Source organism: Homo sapiens, chromosome 11, assembly GCF_000001405.40.
Source record: "Homo sapiens chromosome 11, GRCh38.p14 Primary Assembly".
Taxonomy (NCBI): Eukaryota; Metazoa; Chordata; class Mammalia; order Primates; family Hominidae; genus Homo; species Homo sapiens.
The window spans coordinates 75,654,494-75,669,135 of NC_000011.10; the positions used below are offsets into that span (position 1 = coordinate 75,654,494).

The following is a 14,642-nucleotide window of genomic DNA, read 5'->3' on the forward strand; positions in this document are numbered from 1 at the left end:
CACTTACCACTATGACTATACTTTCGAAAAATATGCCTTCCTCCCACTAGACCAGGAGCTCCTTTAGGACAGTTGCTAGGTGTAATTTATCTCTCTACCCTAGCGTAGTGATTCATCTGAGATGCAATAAATGTTTCCTGAATGAGTAAATGAAAAACTTTCATTGGTAACATACTCTACTTCATTATTTCAGTGATAATAATAAAAGTAGCCAGCACTTACTATGATGAGTATGCACTGTGGACAAACATTATCTCCCCCCAACTTCATCATGACTCTGTGAAGTCACAACTGTGTAGTTACCCCCATTTTATTGATGAGAAAAATAAAGACTTTCCCAAGGTCACACAGACTTTAAGTTAAGATGCATGATTCAAACCCAGCTTTGATGGACACTAAATTCTTCACAGGACACAAGGGCACCTCCCAGGACTCATAAAACCATTCCTTCCAACAATCTTCTGATAGTGTTAACTAGCCACTGTTGCGCCCCTAGAGAACTCTGGCTCCCAATTTTTACTCTCACCAGGGCCCGCCTGGTACTTTTAGATACACTACTTACATCCATATTATCTCCCTCAAAAGACAGCAATCTCCTGCAAACAGGGGTCATGTGCTCTTCACCTTGAATCTTCATAGCCTATAGTCCCAGCCTTGGCATGCTCTTAAGATGTTACATTGAACTCTGAGTAAAAATAATATTAGGCCCACTGCATTATTATTATGGAATTAGGATCAAATAAATCCAACCTAATTCCCTGCTTTTATAGTATAAGCCTCTTTCTCAATGGACTAAAAGCCCTGAAGGATAGAAAGGATTTAGAAAGAAGATGGGAGGAGGGCAGGGGGGAAAACTGTGAGCAAAATCCAGCAGTAGTTTGAATGTGGGGCTTGTGAGACCCAGTTTAGGCTGTGATTCGGTCAGAGCACCTGCTGAGGTCCATATGATTTTAACGTGCAGCCAGGGCTGAGAATACCCAAGAAAAGGCATCGAGTGTGTGCAGGGAGCAGTGGGCAAGAAGGCTAGAAGCATCAGATTGGTCAGATAATGGAAGGCACTGACTGCACACCCAGATGCCTGGGCCTTGCCCTGGAGGAGAAGGGAATCTGTTGAGAGTTTAGGAAAAGAAGTGAGACCACCCACCCCTCCTCCACTGTAGAAACAAGATTAGTGGAGGGAGATGGTATGGGCTTAGCAGAGTTGGGGCCAGAAAGACAGCATAAAGGTTGAAGTTGGCAGCAGCCCTCCCAAGAATGGCATGTTGGACTAGGGGAACATGAGGGGACTTGGCAGGGGCCTGCTGGAGCTGCACAAGCAAGACACAGCTGTGGCTGGAATGAGGAGAATTAGATTCCTGAGCCAGCTCAGCCACTAACTGTTTCTATAACCTCAGTCCCCATACCTCTCTGACTCTATTCTGCATCTTTAAAGATAGAGATGTTTACCTTAAAAGGTCATTATGAAGTCTACAGAAAAAGATATGTTAAAGCAGTTGGCACAGAGTAAACACTCAGCAGATGAGCCTGAAACTCAATTATGTCTCTGTTCTTTCTAATATTCTGCTCTTTTGCATTCTGCCTTGATCTACCTTTTGCCTAATTATTATGGTTTAATACGGAACAATCCTTAAGGGCTAGGAGGCTTGCAAAAATGCACTATGCACTCTAGGATATGCCACAATGTAGGCCAGTGTTTCAAAGACACTGCACAAAATGGACAGTGACCACAAGGGGACAGCTCAGTGGAGGACGCATTGTTTCAGGGATGCACTTGCAGTGGGTTTTGTGGCTTGAGGTTTGGGCACAATTTTCCCACTAAAAGAGGTTACACCAGGCCTAATCCTGCAAAAGCCTCTTCATTCAGTTTGAAAACAAATACCCACTGACAGTGGACTATGCTAAGATAAGGGAAGGATAGCAAAGATAATAACGATGTGTATTATGTAATACACAGCACGGGTAGTTCCTGTGTGTAATGTACAAGGCCAGCAGCACCAGAGGTTGGAGGTTGAGACCACAGTGAGGCCTATGCTCCTGCTCTCTTTTGGACAGGAGAGGCAAGCACAGACACCAAGAGCTCATCCTTTGCTGACTCCTCCCTCACATACCAGAGATATCGATGCTTGCTGGGCGTTGACCTCAGCATTCTTTTCTTCTCACCCTCTCTCTTCCCTACCCACCCTAATACCTATGGGTTTGATTCTCACCAACAGGCTGATGTTGTCCTGATCTTCTTTTCTGTTCTACCCTTTCTCCTGAGCTTCAAGCTCTATCTCCATTTAGTTCTTTTGTATTTTGTTTCTTATTTTTTGTTGAGGTATAACACACAGAGAATAACGTCCATAAGTCTCAATTGTTTGTGTGTATAAACCCATGTCACCACCACTCAGATCAAGATATAGAACATTTCCAACACCTCAGAAGTTTCTCCTGTGCTCCTTCTCAGCCAATTACCCACCTAAATCCCAGAGATTACCATTATTCCAACAACTGTCACCATCAATTACTTTGCCTGTTTTTGAACTTCGTATAAATGGAATCATTCAGTAAATATACTTGTATCTGGGATCAATTTTCTCATCCACTAGGAAGCTTTTGGCAATGTGTGGAGACACTATTTTTTTTTTTTTTTTTTTGAGACGGAGTCTCGCTCTGTCGCCAGGCTGGAGTGCAGTGGCACGATCTTGGTTCACTGCAAGCTTCACCTCCCAGGTTCACACCATTCTCCTGCCTCAGCCTCCTGAGTAGCTGGGACTACAGGCGCCCACCACCACGCCCAGCTAATTTTTTATATTTTTAGTAGAGACGGGGGTTTCACCGTGTTAGCCAGGATGGTCTCGATTTCCTGACCTCGTGATCCGCCCGCCTTGGTGTCCCAAAGTGCTGGGATTACAGGCGTGAGCCACCATGCCCAGCCTTTGGAGACACTTTTGATTGCCACAACTCAGGGTAGGGAGGGCTGGGAAATATTACTGGTGTGTAGTGCATCGAGGCCAGGGATGCTGCTAGACATCCTGCAATGCACAGGACAGGCCCACAACAAAGAATTATCTGGCCAATAATTGATAAACCCTGTGTATCAATCTCCTATAGCTACTGCAACAAATTACCACAAACAGAATGGCTTAAAGCAACACAGATTTATCATCTCACAGTTCTGTCATTCAGAAGTCCAAAATGGGTCTCACTGGAAGCTCTAGGGGAGAATACTTTCTTTGCCTTTGCCAGCTTCTAGAGGCGGCTTACATTCCTTGGGACGTGTCCTTCCATCTTCAAAGCCAACAACCGCCAGTCAAGTCTTGGTCACACTGCATCACCCTAATATTGACACTTCTGTCTTTCTCTTTCACTTATAAGGACTCTTGTGATTACACTGAACCCAAGTGAATCCAGGCTATACTCCCCATTCCAAGGCCCATAACTTAATGACACCTGTAAAATCCCCTTTGCCATGTAAGATAACATATTCACAAATTCCTAGAATTAGGATTTGGACATCTTTGCAGGGGGGATTATTCTGCCTTCCATACCCTGCTATATAATATTCTGCTGTATGAATATACCACAATTTATGTATCCTACTGTTGATGGACATTTGGGCTGTTTTAGTTCTTAGCTATTAATAATGCTGCTATAAACATTCTTATATAAGTCTTCTGCATTCATTTCTGTTAGGTAGATACTCAAGAATGGAATTTCTGGGTCATGGTAAATGTATGTTTAGCTTGAATAGATAATGCTAAAGAGTTTTATAATGTGGTTGTACCAATTTACACCCTTAGCAGCAGTATGAGTTTCCATTTTCATTCTGTACCGAACATCTCCATGTAGACCTTCCAAAGACACCCCAAACTCAACTTACCCAAAACTGTGCTATCTAGCTCAGTGTATACCATTTCTCCACCCCCCCCGCCCCAGACAGCCAAAACATGAACCCTAGAAACATCCTAGGCTCTTCCCTCTCCCTTTCTGCCTACTTTCATTTAGCCACTATAATTTTATTCTTATCAGCACTTGCTTACATTCTATTCTTGCTGGAGATCAGCATCTCTCACCTAGACTGTAGTTTCTTCCCTGGACTCTGTTCCCAGTCTAATCTCTCCAGTCCATTCTTCCCACTGCTGTCAAAGTCACCTTTTCTAAAATCTAAAACTGAATCCTGATTCTCCTGTTGCTTATAAGACAAAGGAGCTAGCCCCAGCCTACCTCCCTCTTCTGTCCCTTGCCATTCTATCCTTATGCAATGATACTTCCAAGTTCTGCCCACACAGAACTCTTTATAATTTCTCTTCTTGTACTTTTACTCAAATTGATCCATTCTCCCATTTACCGCCAACTCATCTTTCAAGACTCAGGCTACTAGTCACCCTCTCTACTGAATTTTCCCAACAACCCTCAAATCAGGCAGACTTAACCCCTCTCTTCTCTGTGCTCCACCATGCCCTGCACAGATATTTTATCAGGGCACCTGTAACTTTTCAGCACACTTGTCTCTGTCCAATAACCATAAGACTCCTGAGAGCAGGGACCACTTTGTCATCCAGGGACTTGGTCCAGGACCTGACATAGTAGATACAAATAAACATTTACTGAATGGAAACTGAATGAAGAAAGTACATATTAATATGACATGCAGGAAGTGCTGAGTGTAGAGAAAGACAAGCGTAGACAAAGTCTGTGATTTTAACAGTCTTAAAACCTAAAGGGGCTGAGCGCGGTGGCTCATGCCTGTAATCCCAGCACTTTGGGAGGCTGAAGCAGGGGGATCACCCGAGGTCAGGAGTTCGAGACCAGCCTGACCAACATGGTGAAACCCCGTCTCTACTAAAAATACAAAAATTACCCAGGCGTGGTGGTGCGTGCCTGTAGTCCCAGCTACTCGGAAGGCTGAGGCAGGAGAATCGCGTGAACCCGGGAGGCAGAGGTTGCAGTGAGCCAAGATGGTGCCACTGTACTCCAGCCTGGGCGATAGAGGAAGGGGAATCATAAGCTCTAACAGGGAAGTAACAGCATGGTTCCTGAAGAGTGACTGCAAAGATTTCAGGGAGAAAATGTATCTAAGGTTTCTAGCCTTCTGCCAGGCACATGCTAGGCACTAAATTAGCTACTATTAGTATTATTATTTCTCATGGTGAAACTAGAAGTTTTTAGTTTGCTGGTTCAGGCCCATGTTGAAGTTATCTTCATTCAGCAGAGAATGAGAAGCTCACCTATTTACATTAATACAGTTGACACAATTCATAAAGCCAAAGCAGCATTGTAGAGATAGCTCCTTAATCTTAATGAACATTTGTTGATTTATTTTAGTTTTATATTTGGGACATTGAATGATTCTTAGTGATTGTTGATTTAGAACTATCACTGGCTTGACATTTTTTTGAAGTTCATATATGCATTAGATACAATCCTTCCCTATGAGAGCAACAAAGAATTAATCGTATATATCTTACCTTCTTTGTGGGTTAGTCTTGGTCAGCATTGTATTTCTGAGAGTTAATTGCACAAAGTTAACCAATGATCTAACAAAATGCCTCAGTAAAAATGTCCAAACAGACATAAAACACTGCTGAGTTCATATGAGGTTTCCATGACAAGTTTCTCTCCTGGCTTTCTTCCCTCCTCACATCACTCCTCCTTCAACTTTTTCATGGATATCCCTTCTGCTGTCAGTACTCCAAATATGTGTATCCCCCATGGCTCCATTTTCTGTTGGTTAATTTTCTCTACTCCTTTTCCAAGGGTAATTTTGCCTCTTCCTATGACTTTCACAGGAAGTGAAACATCCACAAGATGATTGTTTCCAAATCTATATTTACAGCCCAGGCCTCTCCCTAAACTTTCAGATCCATTTACTCAACCGACCCTCAAACACCTCTTGTTAGATATCCCATAGACAACCCAAATTCTATATATTGAAAAGTACCTCAACTTTCACTTCTGACTTTTTTCCCCCTCTATTTTCCCTGTTCCAGTGACTAGCATCACTACCAGTTACCAAAACCAGAAACACAAGGGTCATCCTGGGCCATATCCTCTTCTTTGCATCTCAATTGGTCATTTAGATCTGTTGTTTTGTACCCGTATTATGTTATAAATCTCCAATCTCACAACCATGGTTAAGGCTTTGTCATTTTCTCCAAATTATCTCAATAGCCTCCTTATTGGCCTTCCCTTCTCTAATCTTCCCAGGTCAGCCAGCCAGTGGGAACTTTATAAAATTTGAATCAAACTATGTTGTCCCTCTGCTTAGATTTTTTCAGTGACTCATTATTGTCTATAGAAGCAAATCCAAACTTCTTAGCCAGGAATACAAGGCTGTTGATAAGCTGACCTATGCCTACCTCTCAGAGCACAAAAAGAAAGCGAATAATAAAAATAAGAGTAAAATTTACTGAAAAAAGAGATGCTCAACAAAATAAAAAATTTATTCTTTGGAAAGACTAAAAAACAAAACAAATCTGAACAAGACTAATCCTGAAAAAAAAAAGCGAGAAGGTACAAATAAATATTAGGTATGAAAAAGGAGACATAACTACAGGTAAGTAGAGATTATTTTTAAATCCACAAGATAATGCTATGATCAATTTTATGTCAATAAATTATAAAATTAGAAGAAATGTACATTTTTCCAGAAAAAAATAAATTATCAACACTGGCTCAAGAAGAAATATAACACCTGAATAAGTGAATCAGTATTAAAGACATCAAATTGACAGTTTAAAAAAAATCCATGAAAAAGACAACAGGTCCAGCAAGTTTTACAGGAGAATTTTATCAGATATTTGAGGAGGAGCCCTTCTTATATAAACTTTTTCAAATAACTAAAAAGGAGGGGAATCTACCCATTTAATTTTATAGGTATAACCTTGATTCCAACAGTACATAAGACTAATATAAAAAAGGAAAAATTATAGGCCAATCTTACTTATGAATATATACGCAAGCATTTCAGATAAAAAATAGCAAACCAAATTCAGCATAATAAAATATATTTTTATCTAAACAAGATTTATCCCAGAAATGCAAAGATGGTTCAATATGAGAAAAAAAATCTATTAACAGATTAAAAAAGAAAAATCACAGATCATCTCAGCTGATGCTGAGCCTTCAATAAGAGAAAAAGCATTCAATAAGATTCAACAGCCAAACTAATTTTTAGAAACCCCTAGCAAACTAAGATAAATAGAAATTTCTTAACCTTATCTTATAAAAACATAAAGCAAACCTCATACTTAATGATAAAACTTTAGAAACTTTCCCACATCCCAAGGCAAGGATGTTTGTTATCACCTACTATTTGAAACCATACCAGATGTCCTAACCAACAGAGCAACACACACAAAAAAACAAGATATATAAATCTTGGAAAGGAAGATAATAAATTGTTATTTGCTAAAAACATACATTATCTCCACAGACAATCCAGGAAAGTCTACAAACAAAACTAATTAGAGAGTGTGATAAGTTTCCTGAATACAAGATTAACATACAAAACTTAATGCATATGGGCAATAATAAATTAGAAAAGGTAATGAACTCTTCATGATAGGAACAATAATTAAAAGCTAGCTCAGAATAAAATAAAATAAGATAATATAGTATTAGCTCAGACTGATGGAATAGAACAGAGAACCCAGATATAATATCTAAAGATATGTGACCCTTATGTGATAGAGGAGATATCATAAGTTAGTGGGGAAAAGCAAAGCTTTAGAAAACAGTGTAAGGATAAATGACTTTCCATATACGGAAAAATTCAATACTTACCTCACTCCATTCATAAAGATAAAATCTAGTTAGATTATTAACAATTTAAATACAGAAATAAAACTTTAAAACTGTATATATGTGTATATATATGAGTATATATGTGTATGTGATTTTGTGGAGAAAATTACAAAATATAAGTGAAGAACATAAAAGACTTAAATAAATGGCAACCTTTGCCATGTTTGCATGTGGGAAAACTCAATAGCTTAAAGATGGCAAACCTCACCAAGTAATTTTTTCCCAAGTAAAGCTTGCATTCATCTGCATTAAAATTATCTAGAGTGCTTGCTAAAAATTAGATACTTAGGCTCCATTTTAAGCCCATTGAATTAGAATGTATGAGGATGTGGCCCAGGAATCTGCATTTCAGAAAGCTCTCCAGGTGATTCTTTTGTGTACTAAATTTTGAGAATGATGCCTTATAAAAGTAGATCATAACGTGAGTTGCACATTAGAATCACTTGAAGTAGTTTTTAAAAACTTGGTTGCCCAGGCTACACCCCAGACCAATGAAATCAGATTTTCTAGGCAAGGCACCTATGCATCAGTCTTTTGAAAGTTCTCCACTGATTCCAATGTGTAGCCAAGGTTGAGGACTGCTGCCCTAGGTGAAGGTCCATGTAGAGTCAGGTCTGTAAAGTTTGCTGCCCTTCTCCGTTTGAACATTTACTTCTAGTGCTAACCTGGTAGGATTTGTACTTTTTTTTTTTTTTTTTGAGATGGACTCTCACTCTGTCACCCAGGCTGGAGGACAGTGGCATGATCTTGGCTCACTGCAACCTCCGCCTCCCAGGTTCAAGAAATTCTCCTGCCTCAGCCTCCTGAGTAGCTGGGATTACAGGCGCACCCCACCACGCCCGGCTAATTTTTTGTATTTTTAGTACAATTTTTTGTATTTTTAGAAACGGGGTTTCACCATGTTGGTCAGGCTTGTCTCAAACTCCTGACCTCGTGATCTGCCCGCCTCAGCCTCCTGATGTGCTGGGATTACAGGCGTGAGCCACCGCGCTTGACCAGGATTTGGACTTTAACTTGATTGAGGAAGACACAATTTTCTTACATTAAAATTATGACTCATTTATTTGGTATTCCCAGCTCCTTGTCTGGTACATGGCAGGGGCTTGGTGATCATTTTCTGAAAAAAATTCAACTAAATGAAATTGACTCTATCAATATGTAGAAAAATAAAATTTTCAACAAGCCCTAAAAAGTCCATTAGATTCAACAAATCTATATGGCACCTAGGCTGTGAGAGGTACAGAGTGAACAAAATACAGCCTTCTCTTCAGGTGTTCATGACGTGGTGGGGGAGACAGACATGGACAAGAGTATTTTACAATCAAGCAGACAATGATAAGGGTTCAGAAAGTAAAAAGGGAATAGAAGAACAATTGATTCAGAATGGCTGGCTCTAGGAAGGCATCGCTGTAGACTCAGTATCCAAGATTGGCCTCGAGGCATTGCTGGGATTGACCCAAAAGGAAATTAGGGAAATGGGCAGTTAGGGAATGGGGCAGTTCTGCACAGCATAAACTAAGTCAGATGGGTCTTCCTGTAACCTTCATACAAGGCTGGAGGGCAGACATTAAAGGCTCCTTTTCTTTCTAACTTCCTTGTTACTGCTCTTATTTTTCAAGTATTTCACCCTGGTTTATTAATTCTACCTCCTGGTGCCTCAGCTGGTTTCTTCTAGGAAAAGTTTCTCATTAGCATTTCTATAGGGAGCAGCTGCTACCCTATCTACCCCTATTATCTGATGGCCAGGGCAATGGGGTTGACTGGGAGAGGAATTTTAATCCCCTCCTTATGACTCATCTATTTTCTAATTGAGAACGTCAGGTCTAAAGTCACAAATGGCTTCCCAGTGAAACCCATCCTTAACATTAAAAATGGTAATAAAGACATGCTTCTCAGTTTTACAATATCATCTATGTAAAATGAATGTATTAAAAATTAATCAAACTCATGTTTGTGAATAATCCCAAAGCTATCCTGGATACTACTTGAATGCAAAAATCTCAGGCTGATATGAATGGATTGGGAATTAGATGAGCTATTGAATAGGGAAGGTTTCTCAAAACCATAATGTCAAAGGGTATCTAATGTTATTTATGACTGTAAATTGTAAAGTAAAACAATGAGCATGTATATGATTCTGAATTTTGAATGTATATTTTACATGATGGACTGTGTGTCCCTTTCTGTTTAAGCAGACTGTTCACATTGATGTCATGTGGCAGGTGTCATTTGTAAAGTCCATGAGACGAACCAGTCACCATGGTGTGAATACACCATAATTTATGTAGAATGGCAGAAGAAAAGGGTTTGTAAATCAAATTATCATTGAAGTGGAGCACAGCTTGGCTTCTAAGCCTTCTAAGGCAACATAAGGCCCATCTTATGTCAGTGGACATGGTACTTACTTAAATTCAGAAGATATCCTAGAAACATAGCAAGGAAAAGAATGTGAGACAATAGGGAAGGAAAATCAATGTTCTAGATAAGCTTATAATTGCCAACCATTTTTTCTTTACAGTGTATTTAATGTATTGAATAGCTTATTTCTTTATATCTACTTTCAATCAAAGTGAATTTCTCAATTATTTGTTAATTTTTATTCTGGAACAAAAAAAAAACCCGTTAAATTTCACATCAAATTTGTCATGCACTTAAATTGTTCATTGAAGAAATTGATGTTTCTTAGCAATAATCATTCCCTTAATATTTCAAAACCCTTTTGATTATATAGCAAAATAGTACTCCTGGCCCGAAAGCCATAGGTATAATTAAATTTTACAAAAGACCTAAATTTAAAAATTTTTTTGAGGTGTTCAAAGATTTTTTTGACAGGTTAATAGAATTGATAGGTGCTAAAAATAATCATTCTCACCAGCTCCGAGGGCATAGCCTTCCCCCACCAAATCCAGTCATTTCCAGTATGTGTGTAATGTGAAGCATGGCATGTGAAGCACGACATGCTTACTGCACAGCTAAGCTGTTGTTTTGAGGAAAAAGGCTATATGGAACAAGGTACAACCCCAAATCTGGAGTGCGTTATATTCAAAGGATGTGGTCATTCCTTGACTGACAGGCCACTCATCCATAAACAAAGCAAGTCCTGCCAACTTGAAATCATAAACTGAGTAGGATCACCCAAGGAGGCTTAAGAATCTGGAATCTCTCTTGATTGGCATTGACTGCATGGTGGTGAGAAGAGACAGCTCCTGCTAGTGGGTAGTAAGGTTCCACCTGCCACAGGGTGCTAGAATGAGAGTGGGAAGATGAAGAGGCCAAGCCAGTAATCTATGATGTTGGGCCAGACGTGGGCTTCTCAGGGTAGGAAGATCAAGAAATGAAGTAGGGTCTTGAAGCAAGCAAGCCATAGCAGAACTAGAAAACTACATCCTGCCTTTGTTTTTTATGTCTCCTGCTTATTTGTTTCCCCTCTTTTCTTTTGCTCCCCGCTTGGTAGCAGCATAAAAACATAGTGAACATTCTACCATCTCATGGCTATTCAAGGAAAAGGATTTATGTCCTTGTTTGACCAAGAGCTCAAAGGAAGTGCTGTACTCCTGGGTTCCCAGTGTGGTTGTTGTGATAGCAATAAACCAAGAGAGAGATGCCAAGTGGGAGGTGGAATTCAGGAAGATGAGAAATGCAGGGGTAGGAGTTGGGGGACAGATTTTCTCTTAACATGAAGGATGTCTGGATATGCTATTCTTTCCTCAGCCTATGAGAGAGTATTGGTAATGTTCACTGGAGAAGGATATTAGTCTAACCTATATACAGAGTCTTGGCAAAGGACTAACTCTCTAGTCCTCCCCGCCCCCCACACCCTCTTGCAGGAAGGAGGCAGCAGAAAGCTGTGGCATTGATAAAGGACCCCATAAGCTGCATTTTGAACACCTCTAGCTCAATTACTTTCATACAGATCTTCCCCGAGAGACCCCAAATGCAATGTTGCATGTCCAGAGTCAACTGTGTTCTGTTAGCTAATTGATGTTGGTTGAAACATAAGGGGAGAATTGAAAGCTAAGCCTTCAGAAATATATACCGGATGGATGAAGGGCAAGAAAGCAGACTGGAATGGCTGAAGCTGCAGCAGAGGGAAAATTCTAGAAGGAAAGAGAGAGAGAGATTTTCATGCTTGAAAGCATTCATTTGCAAGGAATTGAGTGTGCTGGAGAAAGGGGTTTTTGGTGGCAAGAGAATGAGAGACATCTGGAGAACATGTAGGGAAAGGAGAGAGAAAGAAGATGCCTCAATAGCAGAGAAGGCTGGAGGCACCTAGGAAGTAGGATCATAAGGTATCATGTGGAAGGTAGGAATGGAACCAAGATGTACTAATTACCACTATGTGCTAGGCACGAGCTGTTCTCCTGATTATCTCATTTAATCCTCACAATGTCCGGCACACTGCCTGGCATATAGTAGGCACTCAAAAATATGTTGAATATTTAATATTAACTAAATAAAAATAAAATGTTTAATATTAAATCAATAAAAGTGTGAACAATCCTAAGAGATGTCTATTACCAATTACATCTTACAGATAAGAACATGAGGCCCAGAAAGGTTAGGAAACTTGCCCAATATGTCACAGCTAGGGAGAGGTGGAAGGACAATGACTTCAAAGTTCCAGCGGTGGAAGGTGGGGGGTAATTTGTAAAGATCCTGTGGGTAATCTAGAAAAAGGTATGGTGCTTGGGTGTTGCCCAGAGACTGAGAAAGGGAGGAAAGAATGAAGGGCCAAGGGAACTGGGCTAGGGAGGAGGGCGAGAGGCCACTTGGAAAGAATTCTTCTTCTGGAAGAATGGGGACCCTGCAAAGGGCAACATCCAGGCTAACGCAGCAGGTGAGTTGGATGGGGGCACGACGGAAGCACAGCCTCTGCTGACATTGCAAAGGGTCTCTGTGGGAAGGCAGGGATCTGAGGTGGGAGGGATGGAGAAAAGGGCTACAGCGGTAAAGTGAAAGAGCCAGGCAGGCTGAGATGGAATATACTAACAGCTTGCGCATGGGACAGGGCAGAAGAGAAGGCTTCGACAGGAGGTGGCCTGGGAGGCGGCTGGGGAGAGGGTGTGGCCTGGGACTGGAGGGAGGCTGCACGCTAGGCCTGCGCTGGGGATCCTGGGCCCCGGGCAGCCCGCGGGGAGGGTCTGCGTGGTGACTCCCCCGCGCTAGCAGCGGCCGCGTCTCACCTGTAGGAGCTGCTCACTGCACTCGCCACCTCCTCGCGGATTTGCCGGTTGAGGGCGTCCGCCGCGGCGCGCCCCCTGCCAGCCTCGGGGCCGGTGGCCTGGACCTGGGCCTGGGCCGCGGGCAGCGGCGTCTGCTCGTGCCCCAGGCCCTCGGCGCGGCGCACAATCCAGGCAGGCCCGGCCTTCCTGCGCGTGTCGCGCTCGTCCGCCCCGGACGCCTTTCCGGCCGCCAGGCCACCCGCTCCGCCGGGGGCCGCCTCCTGCTCCCGGGCCTCAGCGGCGGCCTGCACTGGCCAGCGCTCCTGGCTCTGCGGCCGGCGCTTGGGCGCCCCGAGAATGGGCGCCGACGCCTGGGAGGCCGCAGAGATCTGCACGGGCTTGGGGATCCACGGGTGGTCCCCGCGGCGCGGCAGCGGCCAGGCGCGGAAGTCCTTCTGGTACTGGGTCTCGCGCTCGAAGGGAGCGTCGGAGGGCTGGTATTCGCTGCGCGGCCGGCAGCTGGGCTCGGGCCGCTGCACCTTCCAGGCTCGGTAATCCTGCCGCATCACCGAGTCCGCGGGGCCGGAGGTGGAGCCGGAGCCCAGGCCCGGGCCCGGCCCGCTCCGGCCGGGGCCCGCCGCCGGCTCGCGCTCGCCGGTAGGCCCAGGCGCTGGCCCCGTTGCCCGGGCAACTGCATCCAACTCGCCCTGGGCTGGCTGCGTCTCTATGGCAACCGCGCGCGCCGAGGGGGGCGCGAGCGCCGGCTGCGCCTGCTGCTGCGGCGGCGGTGGCTGCGGCGGGGCGCCCGGGTGCTCGGTGGCCTCCGAGTACTTGGTGAAAACCAGCGGCACAGCGATGTCCGCTTTGTCCAACTGGTTCCAGAAGCGGGCGATGCAGCAGGCCCTCGTGATGCACGGCCACGCCATGATGCTAGCTGAAAAGCCGGCCTCCTCTTTCTTCTTGTGGTTCTAAAGCAAGTCTCTATAATCTTCCTTCAGCCTCCGATCCTGACCGGCCAATGTGGTTCCCACCGTTTTCTACCCCCGATCAGCCGGAGCTAGTTCGCCCTCCTCCCTCAGCGAGCACCCGGGGAGAGCTGTCCTAGGAGAGTCTGTAGAGTCCCTCGATTACCGGTCGCAAACGCCTTTGGGAGCGCAGTCTGCTGCGAGCGCCGAAGGGTGAGACGCACGGCGTTCCCGAGTCCCCGGCGAGGGTGTCTGGGACGCGCCCCTCCCTGCGGCTGCGGCGGCGCACAGACCTCGGTCGAGCGAGGCGACGTGAGGAGAGGTGGCTACAGGCTTAAGCCATGGCGCAGAGGAGGGGCCGGGCGGTGTGGCCGCAGGGTCCGCGGACCGGGCTCGAGTCTCCTTCCTGCCGGCGTCCTAGTGCAGCCGGCCACCTAGCAGGGCTGGGAGGCCATCACCTCCAGCGGAGACCGAGCATTGCTGCCTCCGCCGCTGCCCGCGAGGATGCCGCAGCCGCCGCCGCCACCGCCTCTTCTCCTGGGAAGCGACCCCACCCTTTTCTGCAGCTCTCGGTCTCCGCCGCTGCCCGCGAATGATGCTGCAGCCGCTGCCGCCGCCGCCTCTGCCTCTGCTGCAGGGAAGCGGCCCCACCCTTTTATGCTGCTCAGCAGTGAGAAAAAAATCCAGGAACGATGCTGACTGAAAGAGTGCTGCAGAAAAAAACAAA

At 44.2% G+C, this 14,642-nt stretch overlaps 1 protein-coding gene across 7 annotated transcripts in view, besides 1 other annotated feature; it reads right to left on the reverse strand.

Moving 5' to 3' along the window:
- MAP6 (microtubule associated protein 6) overlaps positions 1 to 14,545 on the reverse strand; it is an 82,121-nt gene extending 67,576 nt beyond the window's left edge. For 6 of the 7 annotated variants that reach the window (XR_949933.4, XR_949932.4, NM_033063.2 and 3 more), the window contains exon 1: positions 12,972 to 14,545. Coding sequence is in view for 5 of the 7 variants with exons in the window: in NM_033063.2 (NP_149052.1) it covers positions 12,972 to 13,876 (905 nt within the window). In the remaining 2 variants the exon portion in view is untranslated. The remainder of the gene's footprint in view (positions 1 to 12,971) is intronic. The other variant, NM_207577.1, reaches the window with a different exon arrangement.
- Positions 72 to 131: an enhancer, noted in NCBI's record as "active region_5273". NCBI's record gives its function as "activates an Ori minimal core promoter by ATAC-STARR-seq in GM12878 lymphoblastoid cells {active_cell/tissue: GM12878}" and the evidence as "EXISTENCE:reporter gene assay evidence [ECO:0000049][PMID:35858748]".